The 21721-nt window shown below is 37.0% G+C and overlaps 1 protein-coding gene across 4 annotated transcripts in view; it reads right to left on the reverse strand.

The window, feature by feature from the left end:
* The window catches only part of VGLL3 (vestigial like family member 3), a 53177-nt gene that overhangs the window by 26807 nt on the left and 4649 nt on the right, over positions 1–21721 (reverse strand). For 2 of the 4 annotated variants that reach the window (NM_016206.4, NM_001320493.2), the window contains exons 2-3: positions 13747–14023; positions 3811–4344 (exon numbers count right to left, since the gene is read on the reverse strand). In NM_016206.4, the coding sequence (NP_057290.2) occupies positions 3811–4344; positions 13747–14023 (811 nt within the window). The remainder of the gene's footprint in view (positions 1–3810; positions 4345–13746; positions 14024–21721) is intronic. The other 2 variants (NM_001320494.2, XM_006713138.5) reach the window with 2 other exon arrangements.

The following is a 21721-nucleotide window of genomic DNA, read 5'->3' on the forward strand; positions in this document are numbered from 1 at the left end:
TCTGTTGTTTATAAGCTACACAGTGTATGGTATTTTATTATAACAGCTTGAAAGCACTAAGACATCATTTCTCTACTAATGAAAATTTCATGTTTTTAGGCCGGCGCAAGTGGCTCACGCCTGTAATCCCAGCACTTTGGGAGGCCAAGGTGGGCAGATGATGAGGTCAGGAGTTCGAGACCAGCCTGGCCAACATAGTGAAACCCCATCTCTACTAAAAATACAAAATTAGCCGGGCATAGTGGCATGCACCTGTAGTCCCAGCTACTCGGGAGGCTGAGGCAGGAGAATCACTTGAACCCAGGAAGTGAAGGTTGCGGTGAGCTGAAATTGCGCCACTGCACTCCAGCCTGGGCAACAGAGCCAGACTCCATCAAAAGAAAAAAAAAAAAAGGAAAGAAAGCAAATTTCATGTTTTTACCAACTTCTTCTCAAAATAGTTGGTTTAATGTATTTATCTTCTAATGGATGTGAAAATGACCTATATTTTAATGGTCCCGGTCACCTGGACTTTGAGAAGTTTTATGACTGTATGAAGGTTCTTCTCTTGGCTGCTCAGTAGTCACCCAATATCGATGCTGAGTTTTCAGCTGAGTCACCGTTTCTGGCTGTATGTTCAGGCCAATGTGGCACAGGTTACACAGAGGGACCCAACTTTCACTGTTCTCAACTGCTCTGCTACCCCTTCCTAGCTTGGTCCTACTATGCAGAAACTTCTGTTCATTTAAAAGGAGTTGGAAAAGTGGTACAGTAGCTACTACCCCTTTGCTGTCCCTCTTTAGAGGACAGTGTGGTGTGCAACCAGATCCCTCTCCCTTTAGGACCGAGGCATTTATTCTCTTGTTGCCGGCAATTCCTGACTCTCAGTTGCTTCTCTCTTTGGGAATTGCCTTCAGCTGAACAAACCCACCTGGCCCAATATCATGTCCCCTTACCAGAGGCAGATCACAACTTCTAACTGGTCAATTCAGGAATGTAAAAGCCCAACCCCCTTGACCCCAGGCAGAACAGTTATGAAGAACCATCTCACTCCAGAGCTCCTTGTAGAATCCAGGCCTCTATTGACTTCATCAGTGAGACTTCTGCCCAAATCTCTCATTCTCCAAAGATGTTGCCCTGAGAACATTACCCCATAAATTGTCTACAAGCAAATCTGAGTCTCAGAGTCTGTTTCCTAGAAAAATTGACGTACAACACCCCTCTCTAACTCCTCCCAAAGATAGAGAGATGTAATATTTGTCATTATATCTGAGTTTAGCAGAATAAAATGACCACATATGGCTCAGCCCCTCCCACTGTCTCTTTTTCGGGCCAGCCTCGATGCATGATGGTGCATTGTCCTCCTGCTTGTGCCTTTTGTAGGGACACACACAAGGCTTAGGCCTTGGATTACGTTTTTCAGAGACAAATCTGAGCAATCATCAGTCTCTTCACAGTAACGGAGCTCTAAGCTGTATAACAAGGAAGGTGTCTACGGGAATCTTCTCTGAACTCTAGATTTTCCCCAGAACTGCATGTTCCAGAATCTAAATTTAGCTGAAGGCAGTAGGAGGTCTAACTGTGGCATTAAGTCTAACCTAGAATCTCCAATTCTGCCTGATCAATGATTATGCTAATAATTTTATCTTTATTTTCATGATTCCTTTGTTTTCTCAATTGGGTCAAAATTTATGAAACGAATCTTGATTACTGTCCTAAACCCATGCTGACAAAGGGCAGCATGCCACACATGCAATAGGAAAACCTTCATCTTTCACTATTAACCATTTTAATAGTTGAATTCACCTAATTTTATCTGATTTACTTATACAAGGAGATGTTATCCCAGCAATCTCTCAGAGAGGGACACGTCTTAGTTCAAACTTCAGCTTGGACACATAACAATGTAATTTAAGCAAGTAGTTTTCTGAGCCTCAGGTTTCTTATTCATAAATGAAACTAACAAGGTCTATCTCAGATTTAGTTTAAGAACTTAAAGTAATAGTGTGTGTGTGTATATATATATATATATATATATATATATATATATATATATATATATATATAGTACCCCAGGTAATGCCTTATATTGTGAGTAATAAATGCTCATTCATAGCTCTGTAAGTATGAAGAGTTATTATAAATGATATCCAACTGGGTCCTCTCAAGAATTTCCAGGGAACAAAAACCCTCTTGTCTATTTCCAAAAGGTGTGAGAATGGCTTTTCATCTTGATGAGATTATTTCAAGCTGAAATTCTGTAACAAGTGAGTGAATCAAGCTCACACCAAAGTGAACAAGTACAAAAGTAGGCTCTCAAAATGAAAGAGCAATAATCACATCCATTTCCCCCCTTATTGGTAGAATTCATAGAGGGAAGAACACGCCCTTTGCCTGCTAAGAGCATTGTTGCTGTTGCCACATAAGTACCACATAAAACAGAGAAGAGCCTCCTGAGACCTGCTGTCCATGAAGGCAGCTGCCAAATTGGGAACTCTAATAAGATCTGGCCTCAGGCATCAAATGACTCCCAAGTTGTCTTTATTTTGTTAGTATGTGGCAAAGAAAGAAGGGAAGCCTGTGCCTGCTGTGCCATCACACACGCATCTGCAGAGGGATTACCAAGTCCCCTGATACTTTGTTTAGAAAAGCAGCTTGAACCCAGTCTCAATAGGAAGCTGAAATGTGTTAGATGGGGCAATGATCAACAATGGAAAGCTCAGTGGAGAAAAGTTAACCAAAATAAGAACGTTCCACTCATGTCACGGGAGAGGTAAAATAAAGCTGAGCATTTATGACTCTGGGGAATTATTTGTTGTGAACCAGCACATGATTAAGGGTTCTCCACACTACAGAAAAGCTAAGGAAGGAAAGAATTTCTTTAAGCTTTTGGAAAGAGAGTTCCAATGTGCCACAAAATGTTCTAGCAAAAGAACCTGGGACCCACTACTTTGGACTCCAGGGATACAATGATCAATTTGTCGTTTTGGGCTCTGATGCCTATGATTTCATGAGCTCAGAACTATGAATACTATTAATATGACCAGTCTGGTCCAAAAATCAAGCTCAGACATTTGACACAGAACCTTCAGAACTATTGAATTCCAGACAGGAGATGAATGCTCTGTGAAGAAATCATTTCCTTACTATTAGTTTCTAAATCTGTTGAATATAAATTTTATAGTAGTCTTTTAAGTCTTGTATTATTTAAATCAGAGACAGGGAGAGAGGAGAGGAACAAAGGAGGAGGAATAAGAGAAAAGAAGGAAAGGCAAAGGAGGATAAAGTCAGGGAACGGAGGGCAGAGGAGGGGAGAGGAGGAAGAAAATGAAGAAAAAAATCATTCTTTTAAAATATGTTCCCTAATTCTTGTTCAAAAGGCTACACTATAGACTATATTTCAGAAACCAGTTTTTATAAGTCATACATAAGGCCTAACAAAAAAAGAAAGGAAAGAAAAATTACTGAAGTGCACCATTTCTGAATTCTGTTAGGCCTGACACATGGTATAATGCTCAGAGACATGGGAGATTTAAATAATGGGCTCATTTCTTTTTAAACAGAAGGTACCAGAGATTCCATTTCAAAGGAACAGACTACTAACCTAAGATATGAGAGAAAAGCTCTGAGACCTTTCTCAGGCTGGATTTCATGAGCTAGTCATACCAGTTTCTGCAGGAATGCAGAAATTATTGCAAAATGGCTAGGTTCCATAAACATGTTGGTAAAGTTTAACTTTACAGATAAGAAAAAATAATTTCAAAACAAATTTCCACCCTTTCTTAAATTAACTTTATCTTGTTATAGGAAGAAAGAAATCCAGCAGCTTACCTGTATCGAATCCCACGCTGGGCACTATGTCTACTGTTCCATGAAAGGCTCCAGCCCATGCTGAGGTAGCAGAGGTGACTGTAGTTGGTTCTGTCTTTGTGATGTCACACTGGGGAGCAGGAATCCTGGCCGCATGCACTGAAGGCATCAGCAGAGGCCCATAGGATGGATCCAGGGCAGAGCCAGCAGGAGGGTGGTGATGGTGATGATGGTGGCGGTGGCGGTGGTGCATGTGGGCATGAGGGTGGTGGTGCCGCATGTACACGTCATGCATATGGCTGTAGGATGGGCTCACCTGAGATGTCAAAGGATAAGGCCAGGACTCAGACACAGCAGGGGGAGGGGCTGGGCCAGTCTGATGCAGGTTGTGTCCCGGCCAAGGACTGGGATCAGCTGCAGAAAAGGTGCCAGGGGGTCCAGTGACCTGGAAGTCAGGATGAACTCCCCCCAAACAAGGTGCAGGTGGGGGCTGGTAAGAGCTGGTCCAAAAGGAAGTTGGGAAACTATTCCGCTGGCTTGAGAGAGCTGAGCTGTCTGAGAAGACAGAAAATAAAAAACATTATTAACATAAGACTCAGTTTTGGGATAGACTTGCCTCTAATTGTCCACTCTAATTGTCCAATAATATTTTACAAGCAGTCAAATTAGCATGCACTCTTATTCTCCCCAAACAGGGGTGAATTGATACCAGGTTGGCCTCTGGGCTCGCAAGCCAATGGGTCCATGTGCAAGATCCAAAGTGTTAAATGAGCCTCCCTCCATTTGCTTTGCTTGGCTTATGCCGTCACAGTCTGTGCTAAGGTTTGCAATTTGGGGATTGAAAAATTTCATTTCCTTCTGAGTACCTTGCAGCCATTAGGCCTAAGAGGAGGTCATATCTACCCACTTCACTGGTAAAGAAATCTTATGCCATAAATGAGGTTTGTATAAGTTGGACATGATCATTTTTACCAACTTCTAAATGCAAATACAATTTTCATTTAAATGAAACATTTTAATGCCGAAGGTAACAATGGAAGTAAGATTACAATTACTTATACTCACTAACACTCATTTTCCATTAAGAAGAGTGTATTCCAACCTCATTTTATTTATTTATTTATTTATTTATTTATTTATTTATTTATTTATTTTCTGTGGAGATCTGGGAGTCTCTAGACCGAGAATAAAAATGGTCAATATTTAATGACAGTATCAAATGCCCAACATTTTTCCAGGGGCTTTTCATGGATAATCTCATAGGAGTTTCATTCCAGGCCTATGGGGTAGTTATTGTTATTATTCCCATGATGAGAAAATCCCAGTAGAGAAGAAGCCTAAGGCTTAAGATGGCAAGAATGGGACTAGGCTTTGAAGCCAGGTGGCCTAAATGGCCAATGGCTGGGCCTCTTCATAAAGTGCCACAAGAGGGCGCAATTGTAACTGTGAACCTCAACATCTCGAATTTGGTGAAGATCCTATGGAAATGATGAGTGGAGGAAATTCAAGTAGAAGTCATGGGTTTGAGGAAGTATTTTGGGGAGAGGGAAATATCAAAGAATAGCACTTAGAGACGAATAAGAAAGAAAACGATCCCCTAACTCTTCATCAGTTCAATTTCCTACTCAATCGTAATAACACATTTATACACGACCTACTATGTATCAAACATAGGCGTCAGGGATGACCAAATGGACATCATTTTTAGTCACAATCTGCAGAAGGATAGATAAGTAAAAACAGACATGTGCAAGGTGACACGGTAGGTATTCTCCCAACAGGAAGCACAGAGAGCCCCGACCCAGCTTAGAGAGTGATAAGTGGAAGCTGACAGACTGAGTGGGGGCTAGCCCTGGGAAGTAAGCTTTAGGCAAATGGATCAGCACATAAGAAAAGGCCATATATTACACACACGCACACACACACACACACACACACACACACACACACACATATGACAGCAGCAGCATTTGAAAGACAAAAAGAGTTCCATAGGCAGAAGGTGGCAACAGAAAAATTGAGACTATTGAAATGAGGACCAAGATGGGTGTAGACTTGCTGGCCATGGTACTGAATGTAAATTCTATTCTGAGGTGGCAGGGTCTCAATGGGCTTTGAAGGGTTTTAATCTAGTAAGTGACACAGTCAAATCCGTTTGTGGAAAGATCAGTGCCTCCACCTGTAGCCTGTTGCCTACAGTGTTGTATAACTAAACAAGCACTGGGCTGGGAGACCAAGGAGCCCAGCTCTGATCCTAGGTCTTACCCTATCTCATTTTATCACCCAATATGGACCCATTGATCTTTCCATGGTTTACTTTCTTTCACTAAGAAAATGAAGTATTTGAACTCATTAATTCAAATTATCTACGGCTTAATACTGCTAACAGTCTGTGAAGTGCCCTATGGATTATTTTTATTTACAGAAGAAGACATTTTCTAAAGATGTTAGTCATGTGAGTTTAAGAGAGTATTTTTATACTGAGTTCCACATAAAAGAACCTTGCTAGATCTTTCCATTGAATGAAGGGTATGAATGGAGGATATCTTAAGAAGTATTTTAAAATAAGAATATTCAAAACTCTGACATTATCTATGTTCTCTCTATAAATATCAGGCCATAGTTTTCTTGCCTCAGGGAAAGCTTAAAAAACTTCAGTCAACCACCACATATATCATTTGGTTAACATAATTCGGCATTACTGTGGTGTGTGAACATTTCCTCTCCCCTAAAGGCTGTGGCAGCAGCACTGCAAGCTCTTCTATTCTCTCCCCTTCAGCTGGGCACCAGAGCTATGATCATGACCATTCATCCCATTCATCCTGTGGTCACACAGCTATTCACAGTCAATTCCCTCTCTCACAACATCTCCATCGATCTCAAAACACTTGGGGAAATCTAGGAAATGGTGTTCTTCAAAAGGCAAAGAATGGAACTGCACACTTTAAGTCTTCAAACAACCTCAGGAAACTTTTAATTGAATGACTTTGTTAAAATCACAATCTATCCAAAAATACCACCTATAATCAGCCTTACTGACATTGAGGTAACTATGTTTTCTTGAATTAACAATCGTCTCTTTGCAACATATGAAAAATACTATTAATGACAAGAAGGAAAGTCGTGTAAGTTGTAAGAAGAAAATTCAATTTGCCTTAGGTGATGGTCATTTGTAAAATATTTCTGTCATACCCACAATGAAAGCCATCAATGTTTAAAGCTTAAAACCCATACAGAGAGTTTAGAGAGGCTCCTTATTCTACATAGTTCATCCTTGCTACCACACATCTGCCACTTTGCTCTCACAACTCCCATCTTTGGGACCAAAGCCTTCATTCTGCTCCTAACTTCCATCTCCCGAGGGGCTAGAATCCTATTATGAAAACCGTTGAGCCCCAACCACAAGTACGTGCCAGAGATATAGAATTCCCCTTATTAAAATCCACCATTAAGATGTCAAAAGTACGGAGAGTATATACCATTTCTCTGTATGCTTTTAGTCTCATTTATATGTACATGGAGCCAATCTTATTTTATAGATGCTTATGCAGTTTGAATATGCATGCGCAAATGGGAATAATGAATCAATTATTTATCAAAAATATTATTGGTCTATTTATGAAGTACTGTACCATGATTAGTGAAGACATTATTACTGAAAGTAGAAATCTATTTTTGAAAATGCACTCCATAAAGATTGAACAAAGTTTTAAAATGCTCCAGGGAAAAATAAAATTAAAAGGAACTTAATATTTTCCCAGTCAATATGTCTCTTGAGATGAATATAAAGTTTGCAAAGATCTATGCAGCCCTTTAAAAAAAACCTGTTACATTTACAATTGAAACAATATTGAGTTGAAAATATGTTTATGAAGAAGTTTATACTTCAAAATCACTATTCGGTGTCTTGCTTGTTTAAGAAAAAAAAGTCTTGATGCAAAGGAAGAGATGATATGCTTTGTTTCATGCCTGAGAACCAGTGTGCTTATTTCATATGTATGTAAATTTTTTTCATTACATGATTCTTTGCTTATGAGTACTTAATCACAGCCACATTTGTTGGATGAAGAAGACATATGAAAAACTGCATGGGCTATTTCTATGCAATATTACATTTCAGGTGAGTGAAGAAAATACAATACTTTATGCTATTAACACTATATGGTGAGTTTGGATTCAATATTACCTGGTATACAGGTGATGTTAACCAATATTTGGATGATGTTGACACTGACAGTCTAACACATACAAAATGCCCAACTGTAATTTTGGTTCAATTTTCATTTGGGGTTAAAAATATTACTCACACATACATACACACGAGTTTATTTCTAGACAAAAAAGAAAATGATAATATTGATACATTGTCTAATAAAATCCACTAAAAGCAAACCCAGTAATCTCACTATCTGATTTAGACTGCAACATGGTATACCAGGTATTTCTTTCAATTTCACAATAGTGGGATACTTTTTACACTGATTGTAAATGTCTCTTAAAAAAAACACACACACACACACATTACCTCCAAAAAAATTTTTTAAAATCTCCGAGTAAAAAATTTAAGAAAGATAAGATTCAAAATTTAAAGAATGATACAGCTTATTAATTTTGAAAATAACAAAAACTAAATTAAAAGGAAAATGGGACAATGAAGTGTTATAGAAACTCTAAGTCATCTTAAAAATTTCCAGAAAACACATTAGAATCAATATTGATTAAAATATGATTATTAAATGCTAAAAGGTAACATTTTTACATTTTTTATTAATATCAGTTAAAAAACAAAATTCTACTCAATTCTTAAGCTAAAGTGTTCTTGCTGTAATTTCATTGCCATTCTCTTGTTGTTCTTCCCATAAAAATAAATGGCTGGGTCAGAAGTGAAATGACATGTGTTCCAGTGTTTTCTGTCATTCAGTAATTATGCATTACCATTATGTCCAAAGATTGCCTTCTAGTTACTTTCTTCTAGAGTTGCTCAAAATGGGCCTTGTGACTCTACAATGAGAGTTTCAAGGGATGATGTCAGAGGCCGATACTCCTTGGAGGCAGCAGGGTGAGATTAGTCACGCCTCACTTTTTTCCCCATGTCTTGGTCCTATGGACATTCTGTTCATTTCCAGTATCAGCCAGCTCATCAGACAGGCCCTCCTTTTCCTTTCTCCATTTGACTATTTAGGTTTCGTATTTATTTTGAGAGCTTTTTCCCATGAGAATGAATTGCCCAAGCAGACCCTATGTACATCAATGAGCCAACAGATGATTTTCTTTGCAACTGCAATATCAGTAAGATTAGCATTCTGTATGGTTTTAAGTCAGTGATTTACTCTGCTATGGCTTGACATAGCTCCTGCCCTTTTCTACAGATACACACAGACTCATTTCTGTAAAGATCAGTGCATAGGCATATTTGAAACCAATGTTTAGCGCTGTGCTAAATTAATCATATAGATTATTTTTAAAATCTTTATAATAACTCTAGGAGAAGGGTATCAAGAAACATATATTTGTATGGAGATAAGGGACCAATCATATTCATTAGGTTTGTTATTTTTTTTTTTTTTTAGATAGAGTCTCACTCTGTCACACAGGCTGGAGTACAATGGCATAATCTCGACTCACTGCAACCTCCACCTCCCGGGTTCAAGCGATTCTCCTGTCTCAGTCTCCTAAGTAGCTGAGATTACAGGTGGCTGTCACCTTGCCTGGCTAATTTTTTGTGTTTTTAGTAGAGATGGGGTTTCACAATGTTGCCTAGGCTGGTCTCGAACTCCTGACCTCAGGTGAACTGCCCGGCCGCGGCCTCCCAAAGTGCTGAGATTACAGGCATGAGCCACCACGCCCAGCTAGTTAGGTTTTCTTAATGGAAAGAAATGAAATTCTTTCAACCCTGTTAGAATATATAGCAGGATTAGAGGTAACTGATAAGACATTGTGCCAAGTAAAATACATATACTTCCTATCATTGTTTGCCTTACAGCTGAAAAACACCTAAAAAAACTTACCTAGCTTCATGAAGGAGATATACATTCAAAGTATAACCATTCTTTCATTATTAGCTGACACACTATTCTTTGTCTAAAGATTTACCGTGTAAATATATTCTTAGTCAAACACGATTCAGTTATTAAATTTGTTTGTAGCATGGTAGCACTTCTGTGGCACTGTAATAACTTTATGCTGTAAACTAGACCCTTTAATACTCGGTCAGCAGTTCCTTTCTAAGCATCATTGCCATGGCCACTAACATTATCATTAGCCTTTAGTATCTACTATTATCTAAGACTGTGTGTTTTGTACCAAAAACACAAAGTTCCAGAAAACAATGTTCCTGGATAAAGGCTCAGGGTTTGTTTTCTATGTGTCAAATGAGTGGAAACTTACTTAAGGAAGAGAGAAAAGGCATCTGGCTTTCATTTAGCACCTTGAGTCAAGCTCTATGCTAAATTATTCATATACATTATTTAAAAATCTTTACAATAACTCTATGAGATGGGTATCAATAAACACATATTACAGTTGAGGAAGTTGATGTAAGAGATTTCAATTTAGTAATCCAAGATCACATTGCAACCAGAAGGTAAAGGCTGGAACATGAATCTAAAACAAATGGACTCCAAAGACTGTATTTTCCAATCCTGTGTAGCTTTGCCAATTAATATTAAATTGTCACCAACTCTCTCATTTTATGAGAATAAAAATGTGAGTCTCATTTTATTGAACCTCTTCTTTAAGACATTTTCTATATTTTTAATTATCGTTTGTGGCTTTCCTATAAATCCTACACAAGTTTTATATATTTATCTAAATCTGTCTAATTCACAACTTAAGACAATTATGACAAAGATCTAAGAAAAGCAAATAATACCTTTGAAATTACAGAACTTTACAGAAGAAAATATTTTTACCAATTATTTAATTTAACCCCCTTATTTTATAAATTAAAAAAAACTGTACCCAAAGAGTTCATATAACTTATTACCAAGAAATTTTCTATTAAAGACTCTTGTTTTCTAATTCCGGATACATGGTATGAAATTGGTTCATTTAATTCAGTCACTTAATCATTCAATGCATATCTATTTCAGATTTTCCACATAGAAACACATTGTTGTGAGCATCAGAAAAAATGAGGCACCATAAGAAGATATGGTATTTGTAGACTTAGTGGGATAATAGGAGATGAAAATTGAAGCGCATGCTGTGTGCTCCTGGTATATGCTGATAAACTGATGTAAAAAGCTCTAAAACAGTGGGGCGCGGTGGCTCACATCTGTAAGTGTGGCTCCGAGCACTTTGGGAGGCCGAGGCGGGCAGATCACCTGAGGTCAGGAGTTCAAGACCAGCCTGGCCAACATGGTGAAACCCCGTCTCTACCAAAAAAATACAAAAATTAGCTGGGCATGGTGGAGGGTCCCTGTAATCCCAGCTACTCAGGAGGCTGAGGCAGGAGAATCGCTGGAACTGGGGAGGCGGAGGTTGCAGTGAGCCGAGATCGCACCACTGCACTCCAGCCTGGGTGACAAGAGCGAAACTCCATCTCAAAAAAAAAAAGTTCTAAAGCATCTGTTCTCCACCTATTACTTTGCATTTCATTCACCTCACACCAGCATCTTTGCTTCTCATTGAATATTCTAAGCTCAGTCCATCTTCAGGGCCTTTGCACTATCTGTCCCTTCTGTGTAGAATTACTTTCCCCTAGGTAACCACATGATGAGTATTCTTATTTCCTTCAGCTATCTGCTCAAACATAACTGTGCCACACAGGGCTTTTGTTATCACCTTATGTAAAATAACATATTTTGTAACAATTGTTTGTTTCCTGTTTCTACCCTAAAAGCTCCATGAGGGTAGAGCCTTGGGCTGTCTCAGGACTTAGCACATTGCCTAACACATAGCAGGAGGTTAATAAATGTTTGCTGAATATGTCAATGAATAAAACAGGAGACATATTTGAAGATCAAATTTAAGATAGTTCCAAGAAAACTTTAGTAGTAGTTATGAAAACATTGCCTTTATTAACCCTTTCTATGCTACAGTTTAACATCTGCTAAAGGAACTTGTGTAATGTGTTTTGCAAATTACAGAGAAAATGCTGATGTGTTGTAGGGTTTCTGCACATTCACAACATCCCACTAAAAATTATTTTGAATATGATTCTATAGACAATCACTCTCACACCAAGAAATAATTTGGGACATTAATTCTGATTTTTCAGTTTAAATGATAGCAAGGTTGCATATGCCCATGTGCTAAAAGAAGTAGACATTATATTTATTACTCTCCTGGCACTGATTATCTTAATAGGATTCATTATTGATATATCAAATTATTTATTAAAGCCATCTAACTCACTAATGTTTTCCTATTTTCTTCCTCTACAAATTATTAAAATTATTCATCACGTCCTGTTAAATAGGACATTAGTCTATTACATAAGCATCATAGGCTTCCAAGGACTAAGTCTCAGTTCTCATAGTAAGCCCATATTATTTACTAATCAAATAACTAGTATGTTTTTCAGTTCATTTCCATCAAGGCCTTGGATATTTTATTTGTATTCCACCTTCCCCTTTATAGTCACTGTTTAGTGTTGTTTATATTTACTAAAAAGAAAAGTAAAGAAGCAAAGAAAAAAAAGAAGGAGAGGAGAGGAGAAGAGGCAAACAGGGAGGGAAGGAAGGAGAGAGGGTAAGAAGGGAGGGAGGGAGAGAAGAAAAGAAAGGTCAAGTAGGTAAGAAAAGATCAGGCCCAGCAATTCCATGTGGCCAGGACTTCTACAGTAGAGCAGAACCATTCCTGTGCTGCCCAGAAGGTACCACTAGTCACTGCTCACTGCTCACCTGGCCCTGCCCACAGGTAGCCAGCTTTTCCTCATGATAGGAATTACCCAGAGCCCTTGTTAAAGTGTGATTCCCACACCTTCCTATGAAGATTCTAGTTCAATAGATTCGAGATAAGGGGGTCCTGCAAACTGTCCTTAACAGGACTAGATCAATGATTATCAAACTCTGCACTGGAGTCACTGGGAGGGCTGGTTAAAACACAGATTGCCCCACCCCAGAGCTTCTGATTCTGCAGGTCTGGGGTGGAGCCCAAGAATTCGCACTTCTAACAAGCTCCCATGTGGCACTGATGTTCCTGGTCAGGAAAATCACACCTCGAGAACCATTTTACTAGATCATTCCTATAACCAGGTGAATTTGGAAGAAATCACCACTGTAGCAAATTTCTCTGAAGCTGTCATTGGAATGACGTATTATGTTTTTATCTAACCCTGTAATTACCCTGATTTAGATGTCACCAATAATTTTCTATGAGTCAGAAATCAGTTTCAAACACATCTCTGTGAGCTCGATACAGAGAGAAATAAAGGAGTCCAATGTGCTGCTCTTTCTTTATCAAGGTAAAAACACTAGTTTAAGCCATGTGGATGCTGCCAAAATGCCTAGAGTGTATACTATAAAGAGTTAATACAATAACAAATCAGGATAAAGAAGCCTATTCAAAGAACACAGACAGCTTTCAATGTCTGTATTCCTGGGTCAGACTCAGGTCTCTGGTATGTCACCACATAGCACCTATTGGAATGAGCAAGAGCTAATTTTTTAAAAGCTGATTTAGACACGCCTATTATTTAGAGATCCAAATTGGGCCACTGGGGCTTTAGGAATGGTACTTCGCAGCTCAGTGCAGCCACTATAAACTCAAGCCGGTTGTATCACTACTTTCCATGAGGAATTTAAGGGGTGTGACTGCATCCTTTCCAACCCTACATTCCACATGTGACAAAACCGATCCAGCTGTTTGTCTGAAAGAAATTCCTCACTGTCCTTAAATATTAAAAAGCAAGTGGATATCCATCCTCAGGGGCAAGTCTCCAGCTGGAACCTGGTACAGGCAGTTGCGAAACAAAGACAGTGCCCTGGAGAACATCTGCTTTTGAATTCTTACCTCGCCATAGGGGGGTTAGCCCCATCTTGCTTTTTGAAATGGCAGATTCTGGATGGAGGGTGATGGCTTGGCCCAAAGCTCTTGAGAAGTGTTCATCCACTACTGACCCAATGTCTCCCTGGAAATAAGTGAAAAGGACACAGCGAGAGTTAAGGTACTCCATCTCGGCAGGCTGGTCTTTCTCCTCCTCCTCCTCCTCCTCATCCTCCTCCTCTTGTTTGCTGGGAAGGGTGACTTCCAGAGAGTCCTGCATCTTGCTGAATACCGCTAACTTCTTCTGGGATGGAATAAACAAAACACAGTATCAAAGACAGTTTGTAGAAAAGCATTCACTAGTTAAGTTTTCACTTTTTTAAAAAAAGAATCTAAATATTAACATATGTTTGCAAACTGATTCTTCTTCATCTGTTTTACTCCATCTTTTTCCTCCCCAAACCAGTTGCCTCCTTCCCACACTAAAAAAAATACAACAAAAACTCTGTGATTCTACATTTGGCAAACGAACATAAAAGCCCATTATCAAATAGTATATTTTCAATACAAGATTTTGTTTTTGCTTTTGTTTTTGTTTTGCTTTTTGTTTTTTCATCTAGCTAGGCCAACAGGAGAATTACTTTTTTAAAAAGTTTTTCTTCCCAGTTTTGGTTTATTTTTAAAAATGCAATGTACAGCAGTGTTATGGTTTAGGACAGAGAGGAATGACTGTCTGGGGGTGGAGTGGAGAAGAAAAGAACTTTTCATAAATAAAATAAACTAAAATAAAAACAGGAATGTAGCATCTTATAAAAGGATTTGGCAGATGTGCTGAACTCATGTCTTCAAAAATCAAACTAAAATGGCAAAATAAGTCTGTGTGAAGATGCATTTTGCATGGAACATATTTTTTAGATGTTCCGTTTACCACCATTATCATGAGGGGAAAAGATTTCATTATGGCTTAGTGAAAATATTACAAAATACTAGTAGTGGGTTAATCTTTCAATTAAAAATGAGAAAGATTTGTTAATTTAAAATGTTTAAAAATATAATTCTAATAATAATATACATTATTTCAGACATGTTTCTAAAACTTTATATTTATCACCTCACTTAATCTTTACAATTCTATAACATGGCTATTAATACTATCCATATTGTAAAGATTAAAAAGCTAAAGCACAGAAAAATTAAGTTACTTGCCAAAAGTCACAAATCATGTAAGCTGCAGAGTCAGAATGCATAAGAAAAACATACAGGTATAGACATGTGTGTGCATATATATGTTCTGAGGAATGGCAGGGAGGGATATCTAGCATATAGATATGCGTGTGCATACATTTGGTGGGGAAAGGCAGGGAGGGATATCTAGAGTAAAAAAATTACAAAAATGTATTTTGTATTGTTTTTCTGTGTAATACGTTTATAGTTAATTGTCATTTTCTTATTTCTGCTTTTCAGTATTTCCAAACATTTTTCACTGAGCACATATTCCATTTATTATCAACTTCAATGCGAATTACATATAAGGAGATAATGCTAAAGATATGAAATGTATTATTCTAGTGACGAAATGAGCTTTCTCTGTCATCTTTATGTCTGCAAAACCTGATCCTTGATCATACCTTTTTTTTTTTTTTACTTTGAAAAAAACGCATGCTGGAAAATGAATGTGAGTAGAAATAGATAAATCACTCCAGAATACCCAGTAATTTTTCAAATGTTAGCAAAATACATACCCCAGACTCTATATTTCTAATGTAATTACTAGCTTCAATATCTATAGCTTCAAATTATAAATGCACCATTCAATAAATTGGTCCCTTTCCCCTAGCAGTGAATATGTTGTTCTTGTATAAGGTGAGTACTGAAATATTCAGAAATACTATGAACTTCTAGTTATCGTTTCAGGATGGTTATTTATAAATATGTGTTTTGCTTTTATTTAAAATTCGTATCAGTATGGTTATGATTTGTTGATGAATAGATAATTCATACTTTGTAAGTGAATGTGCCTTGCTGATGAATAGATGATTGCTTTTATTTCTCATAATCTACCTCTGCACAGATTTGAACATGTTTATATTTAACTTCAATAGTATAAACACCATAGAAACATATGGTATGTGTAAAATGAGGGAATCGAACTAAATAACCTCTAAAACTATTCCTAGTTTTAAATTCCATTAAAAAATTAAATGAATATTATGATTTATTAGTCAAATCACAGTGCTGCTTCTTCGGGTGCATGTGTATTTACCTAAAACATGTATTGTTTTAACCATATGCACACACTCTCTGCTGAATATTCGGGCACATTAGAAAGCAGCTCTGTTTTTCTATGAAAAAAAAAAACCCTAAAACCTATCTACATGGTGGCATCATTGTCCACAAGTGTTCATTCTTATCCGTGAAACTAATTTCTTTTTTCTGTTAATGTCCAGCTCAGCATCAGTTTGTGAGAGTGGGGCTTTGCATATAAATGCTTTATTTGTTTAATTGTAACATTCATTCTTTAAATAGAAGAGCCTGGCTACATTAACAATCCAAATAAAGTCAAAGTTTTATTTTATCCTTAATTGACAGCAATTAATTCTTAGATGAAATAAAATTGAAGTTATATATATGTAAAGGATTTGAAGGCCATGAATCCTGATACAAACGTCAAATAGTATTCTTATCAATAGTAGCAATCATAAAATATCAATTTTAAAATCGATATTTTAAAATCCATTAAACTATTGTATTTAAACTATAGAATTTCAATTGATTTAAGATTTCACAGTTTTCTAAATGCTTCATAATATTGTGTTACTTTTCCTACCAATTTTTCAATGGTTGGATAGAAATAAACTAACCTAAAAATTATATTTTTCAATATGCAATGGGAAATAGTAAGCAAAAGCTGCCCCTGCATTAAAATATCTGTCATCAGTTTATTTTAGAAAAAGAATTCTCTCATTGTATGTATTCTTTATATTCTTTTTATTTCATATATGTAATATATCTATATTTACATAAATATGTATACTGAAATATTCCTTTTTGATATAGCAAATATATATGGTTCTTTAAAATATTTATACTGATTCCTCTAATTAAATAAAATTTTTTGTAATGATTATATACTTTCTTTTTTCTTTTTATCTCTCTCGATTCTTTTACTAATTAAATAAATTTGCTAGAAAACTATCAAACAAATAAAATGAAAAAAGCTTCTATCTACCCATAGGCAGGACACAAGAATGTCTACCGTTGCCACTTGCAATTTTTTTTCAGATAAAGTTAGGTTAATTTTCACAGATTATAATGAACCAATTTAAATATTTACGTTTACAACACACACAAGCACACACACACTCACATACACAGACATAGCCTCACAATCAACAGTACTGGTTAAAATAAGAATCTCAAAGTATCCAAATGGCCTGATAACTCACTAATGTGCCAAGGTTGAATTTGCATACTTGTTTTTAACATTAAGTGCGATCATGAGGAAAACAGAAATACAGCATTTAAACAGCAATGGATTCAAATGCTGCCTTTCATCCCATCTTAATTTCATTCTCCATAGACTCTGGTGCCTCAACTACTTTCTAATGTCTGTGTTCTGTTGACTGTAAATCAATTTATTGCTTTTTTTAATTTTTATTTTTTGAGATGGACTTTTGCTCTTGTTGCCCAGGCTGGAGTGCAATGGTGTGATCTTGGCTCACTGCAACCTCCGCCTCCCAGGTTCAAGTGATTCTCCTGCCTCAGCCTCCCTAGAAGCTGGGATTACAGGTGCCTGCCACGATGCCCAGCTAATTTTTTGTATTTTTCGTAGAGACGGGGTTTCACTATGTTGGCCAGGCTGCTCTCAAACTCCTGACCTCAGGTGATTTACCCGCCTCAGCCTCCCAAAGTGCTGGGATTACAGGCATGAGCCACTGCGTCCAGCTCTGCTTTTTTTTTTTTTTTAACTAAGTATTTTGCTCATAAGCACTTCTGCCACATTCTGTATTCACTTGGTGTTTGCTCCTTCAGTGAAATTTTCCTGGTGTTACATTCTTTCTTGGGAATAATATATAAAATTCAAAACATCGAGACTAAATATCAAATCATCAGAACCAAGATTTCCTGATTGAAGGTCACAATGTAATCTAATTGGTATTTTTCTCAAAATGCACAATCACTTCCTAAAAATATCCAGATTTCTCAGAAATATTTATGTTTTTCTTCGAAGACCCTGCAGAAATTTTAACAAAAATAAAGTCATCTAAAGGGATTTTAAAGACTACAAGTTGTTGTTTTTCTTAAATGCACATTTATGTCTCTTCACCACTACATAGTTATGACAATTTTTCCCTCGGTAAAATGACTCTGGAGTAAGATGAAACAATAAATGGGTTAATAGTTATAAAGTTAAAGCTAACTCACAAAGAGGTTAAAGTATCAATGTGGAGAGTTCGCTTGGGCAGTACAGACCATATCCAACCACCACACTGCTTGCCATTAGGCACAACAGCAACAAATTTTTCAGCAGGAATGTGCAGGGGAAGGATTTGTCTGACAAGAGAAAGACTTCCATGTCAGGAGCCAAATACCACTAACTCCCCAAGGCTTAAGCCTACAAAATGCCAAATGATTACCGTGCATATGTGGAAACTTTTTTTCCTAGGGAAACAAAAGTATTTTAATGAATCACTGGAGTCTTTGGATATTTAGAAACAGATTTAAAAATAAAATCTACTGGCTATCTTTTTAAAATACAATGATTCTTTCATATTCAAAAACATGATTGGAGCTATAAGAAGAAATCACTATCCCAGGGTAAATATTTCAAAATCATAGAGGACATAAAAGCAGCACATTACTCTGTGACCATATATATTTTTTTTCTTTTGAGACAGGTTCTCGCTCTCATTTGCACTCATTGCACTCATTGCCCAGGCTGGAGTGCAATGGCGTGACCACGGCTCACTGCAGCCTCCACCTCTCAGGCTCAAATGATTATCTCACTTCAACTGGGACTACAGGTGTGTGCCACCATGCTGGCCTTATTTTTTATTCTAATTTTTTTGTAGTGACAGGATCTCACTATGTTGCCAGGGTTGGTCTCCAACTCCCGGCCTTAAGTGATCCTCCTGCCTCAGCCTCCCAGAAGTGTTGGGATTACAGGCATGAGCCACCGTGCCTGGCCACATATTTCCTAATTTACTTGGATAACAGATTTTGGTTCTTAGTCTATTTGGAGAAGGATAGGTCAAGTTATATGAGGTTGGGTCAAGTTAAGGAACATATATCACAAATCTTTTGTATATTTCATTTCACATAACTGTCCTCTCACATACACATATTTTGTCAGAATAAGTATTCCCAAGTAATAAGTTAATATGCAAATTACTGGGTCAGGATGGCCTAACTATAATGGTAAGTGGCAGAGATGGGATTAGAACCTATTTCTGTCTGTTTACAAAGCATGTACCCAGAAAATAGACTAAAGAAAATGTGTCTCTACGATATTTATTTTAACTGAATAAACAGACAAACAGAAAACATCAGTCAGCATGGCATCACATGCTAACTAGGACAGTCTAAAATTCATGACATTAAAAAGTTAGAGATTAAACAATGTCATGCTTTTAAAAACATATATAATTCTAGGTGAAATTGAACTTCTATGTCTAAGAACATATTATCTCCTTGACAAATCAGATACATAAAACAATTGTCTACAATTTTTCTGAAAATCTTATTTTGGAAATTTGACCAGTCAGTCTGTGAGACAAAATCACACCTCAGGATTCTGTGTTTGTTTCTCTGTTTTTGTTAACAGTAGGGAGGAGCCAACCGAAAATAATATAACTTAACAGGATGAGTTACTTTTGAGTGCATTTGCCTCTAAATGATTCTTGACATTATCAAAAAATCAAACCTAACCCCTCCAAGGAAGAAAAATTGCCAGTTTTGATGATGTTCAAAAAAATGTGCCACAGGCTTAGAGGCGATTTCAAAATTTACATTCCCAAAATGTTTTAAGCAATGATCATATCATGAGGGTATGTGTTCTCTCTCAAACCAACTACTTTGAAGGAGACAACAGTTTCCAACATATAAATTTCTAGTTAGTTTGTATAATTCTATTACTAGACTTAGGGTATAATTTCATTTTTAAGGTAATTTATCCATTATTCATTAATTTATCTAGTTGTCAATTAATACCTACCTTGTGTCAGAAATTATGCAAAGACTTGGAGTCACAAAGATGAAAGTCATAGCCTGTTCCTAAACTCAAACTTCTCATAGTTAATTGGAAGAGTATAGTAAGGGCAATAATAAATAAAGAGAGCCTCATGGTTTATTTATATGGCTGATGGCATTATAATCTCTAAGTGGCTAATATTCCAAAATTTAAAAGTAAGAAAATTCAAAAGATAACATAGGTTAATTACTAACTGTTTTCTTGTTTCTAAAGCAGCACAGATGGGAAGGGAATTCAATAAAAAAGAACTGAAATGGGAAAGAAGATTTGACCGAAACTATTTCCATGAGTCTGAGCAAGCCACTGAAGCTTCTGGCCCTTAGCTTCCTCTTTTGAAAACAAGAAACTTTGATTTGATTGTCTCAGAGGTCTCTCATCCAACTCTATATCTTAATAAGCAACATGCTGGAGCTCTAGACAAATTCACACTTAATTTTCTTTCTTACATTGGCTGCCTCTTCTGATATTTAGCCAAAAAAACCCTACAGATCATTGAAGAACAATTTATTTTCAGACATGGGTCATCTAGCCCAATTCCTAGGAATTAGTTATGGCACTTCGTTTATCTGTCTTCATATTAACAAGAAAGGATAGACTTTTAGAGTCCCCCTACTGCATCCTCCAATGACAAGTGTTTTGGCATACTGAAATCATTTGGTTTTAAGGAGAAATGACACCTGTTGAATTTAAGTCATTCTTCTTTTCTTCTTCAACTAAAGAAGGAGACAAGTGAAAAATGGTTCAGTTACCCTAGTTCAGACCACACTTGTAAATTACTGGCGTAAATCTGGTATCCACTGAACTATCAGTAAATATGGATTTATGAGTTGTTCTAGCAGCAGCTGTTTGGGTCTAATGGTTCAAGGCAGTCTTAGGTCTTCCTAAATGAGTAGTCAGAGCAGAAAACCAGCTGCTTAAAGAGATGTGTTTTGAAAGGTTCAGAGCAGAGCTTAGCTCAAAAGTTTTGCTTTCACTGTCCCTGACAGAGCCTCAAATTCAACTCTTAGAGAGCTTTTGCTTCTTGAATAAAAATGTTTTCTTGGAGGTAATACCCTAACATATTATCTATTACAAGATATATTAGTTTTCAGATTTTTAAAAAGTTAGTTGGACACAGAGCCTATGGAAGTGAGAACCAAGCTAAGCACCCAGGTCTTAGAATGACAGTCACCTAGCTTACAAGTTTGCTTTAAGATCTGCCTTAGGCATCATAAGCATAATAGTTTTATTCCCATTGAAAATTCCCTTTGCACAGATAGATATGACAAATATATATATATATACACACACACACGTATACACACACACACATATATACACACACGCACATAGCCCAGCTTCTTCTTCAGTAACCTGAAGAAACAGTGCATAGGAGAACAAGACTTTCCACTCTAAACACCTCTTTTACCATCTTATAGGTCACCTCCTTGCCATCTCCGGCTTTGTGAGATGTGAAATTTTACTAAGGGCTAGATAAGGTAGAACTTCCTTGCATTTAGCCAGAATACCCTTTACATAAATTTCCACAGTGTCACCTTGTCCTGGCATTTTGTTTCTTGGTGAACACATCCTCACTATGCATGATTTTATGGTTCTCAATCTTGCCCTTACCATCATCATTGTAATCTCGATTCTGGTTGACTGCCAGAGATAAGAGTTCAATTATTTTAACATTTAATTTTTCCTCCAGCTTTGAATTTTCTGGCTGGGAAGTTATAGGGAGCATGAAGCTGTGGGGCACTTTAAGTCTCG

This window comes from Homo sapiens, chromosome 3, assembly GCF_000001405.40.
Source record: "Homo sapiens chromosome 3, GRCh38.p14 Primary Assembly".
Taxonomy (NCBI): Eukaryota; Metazoa; Chordata; class Mammalia; order Primates; family Hominidae; genus Homo; species Homo sapiens.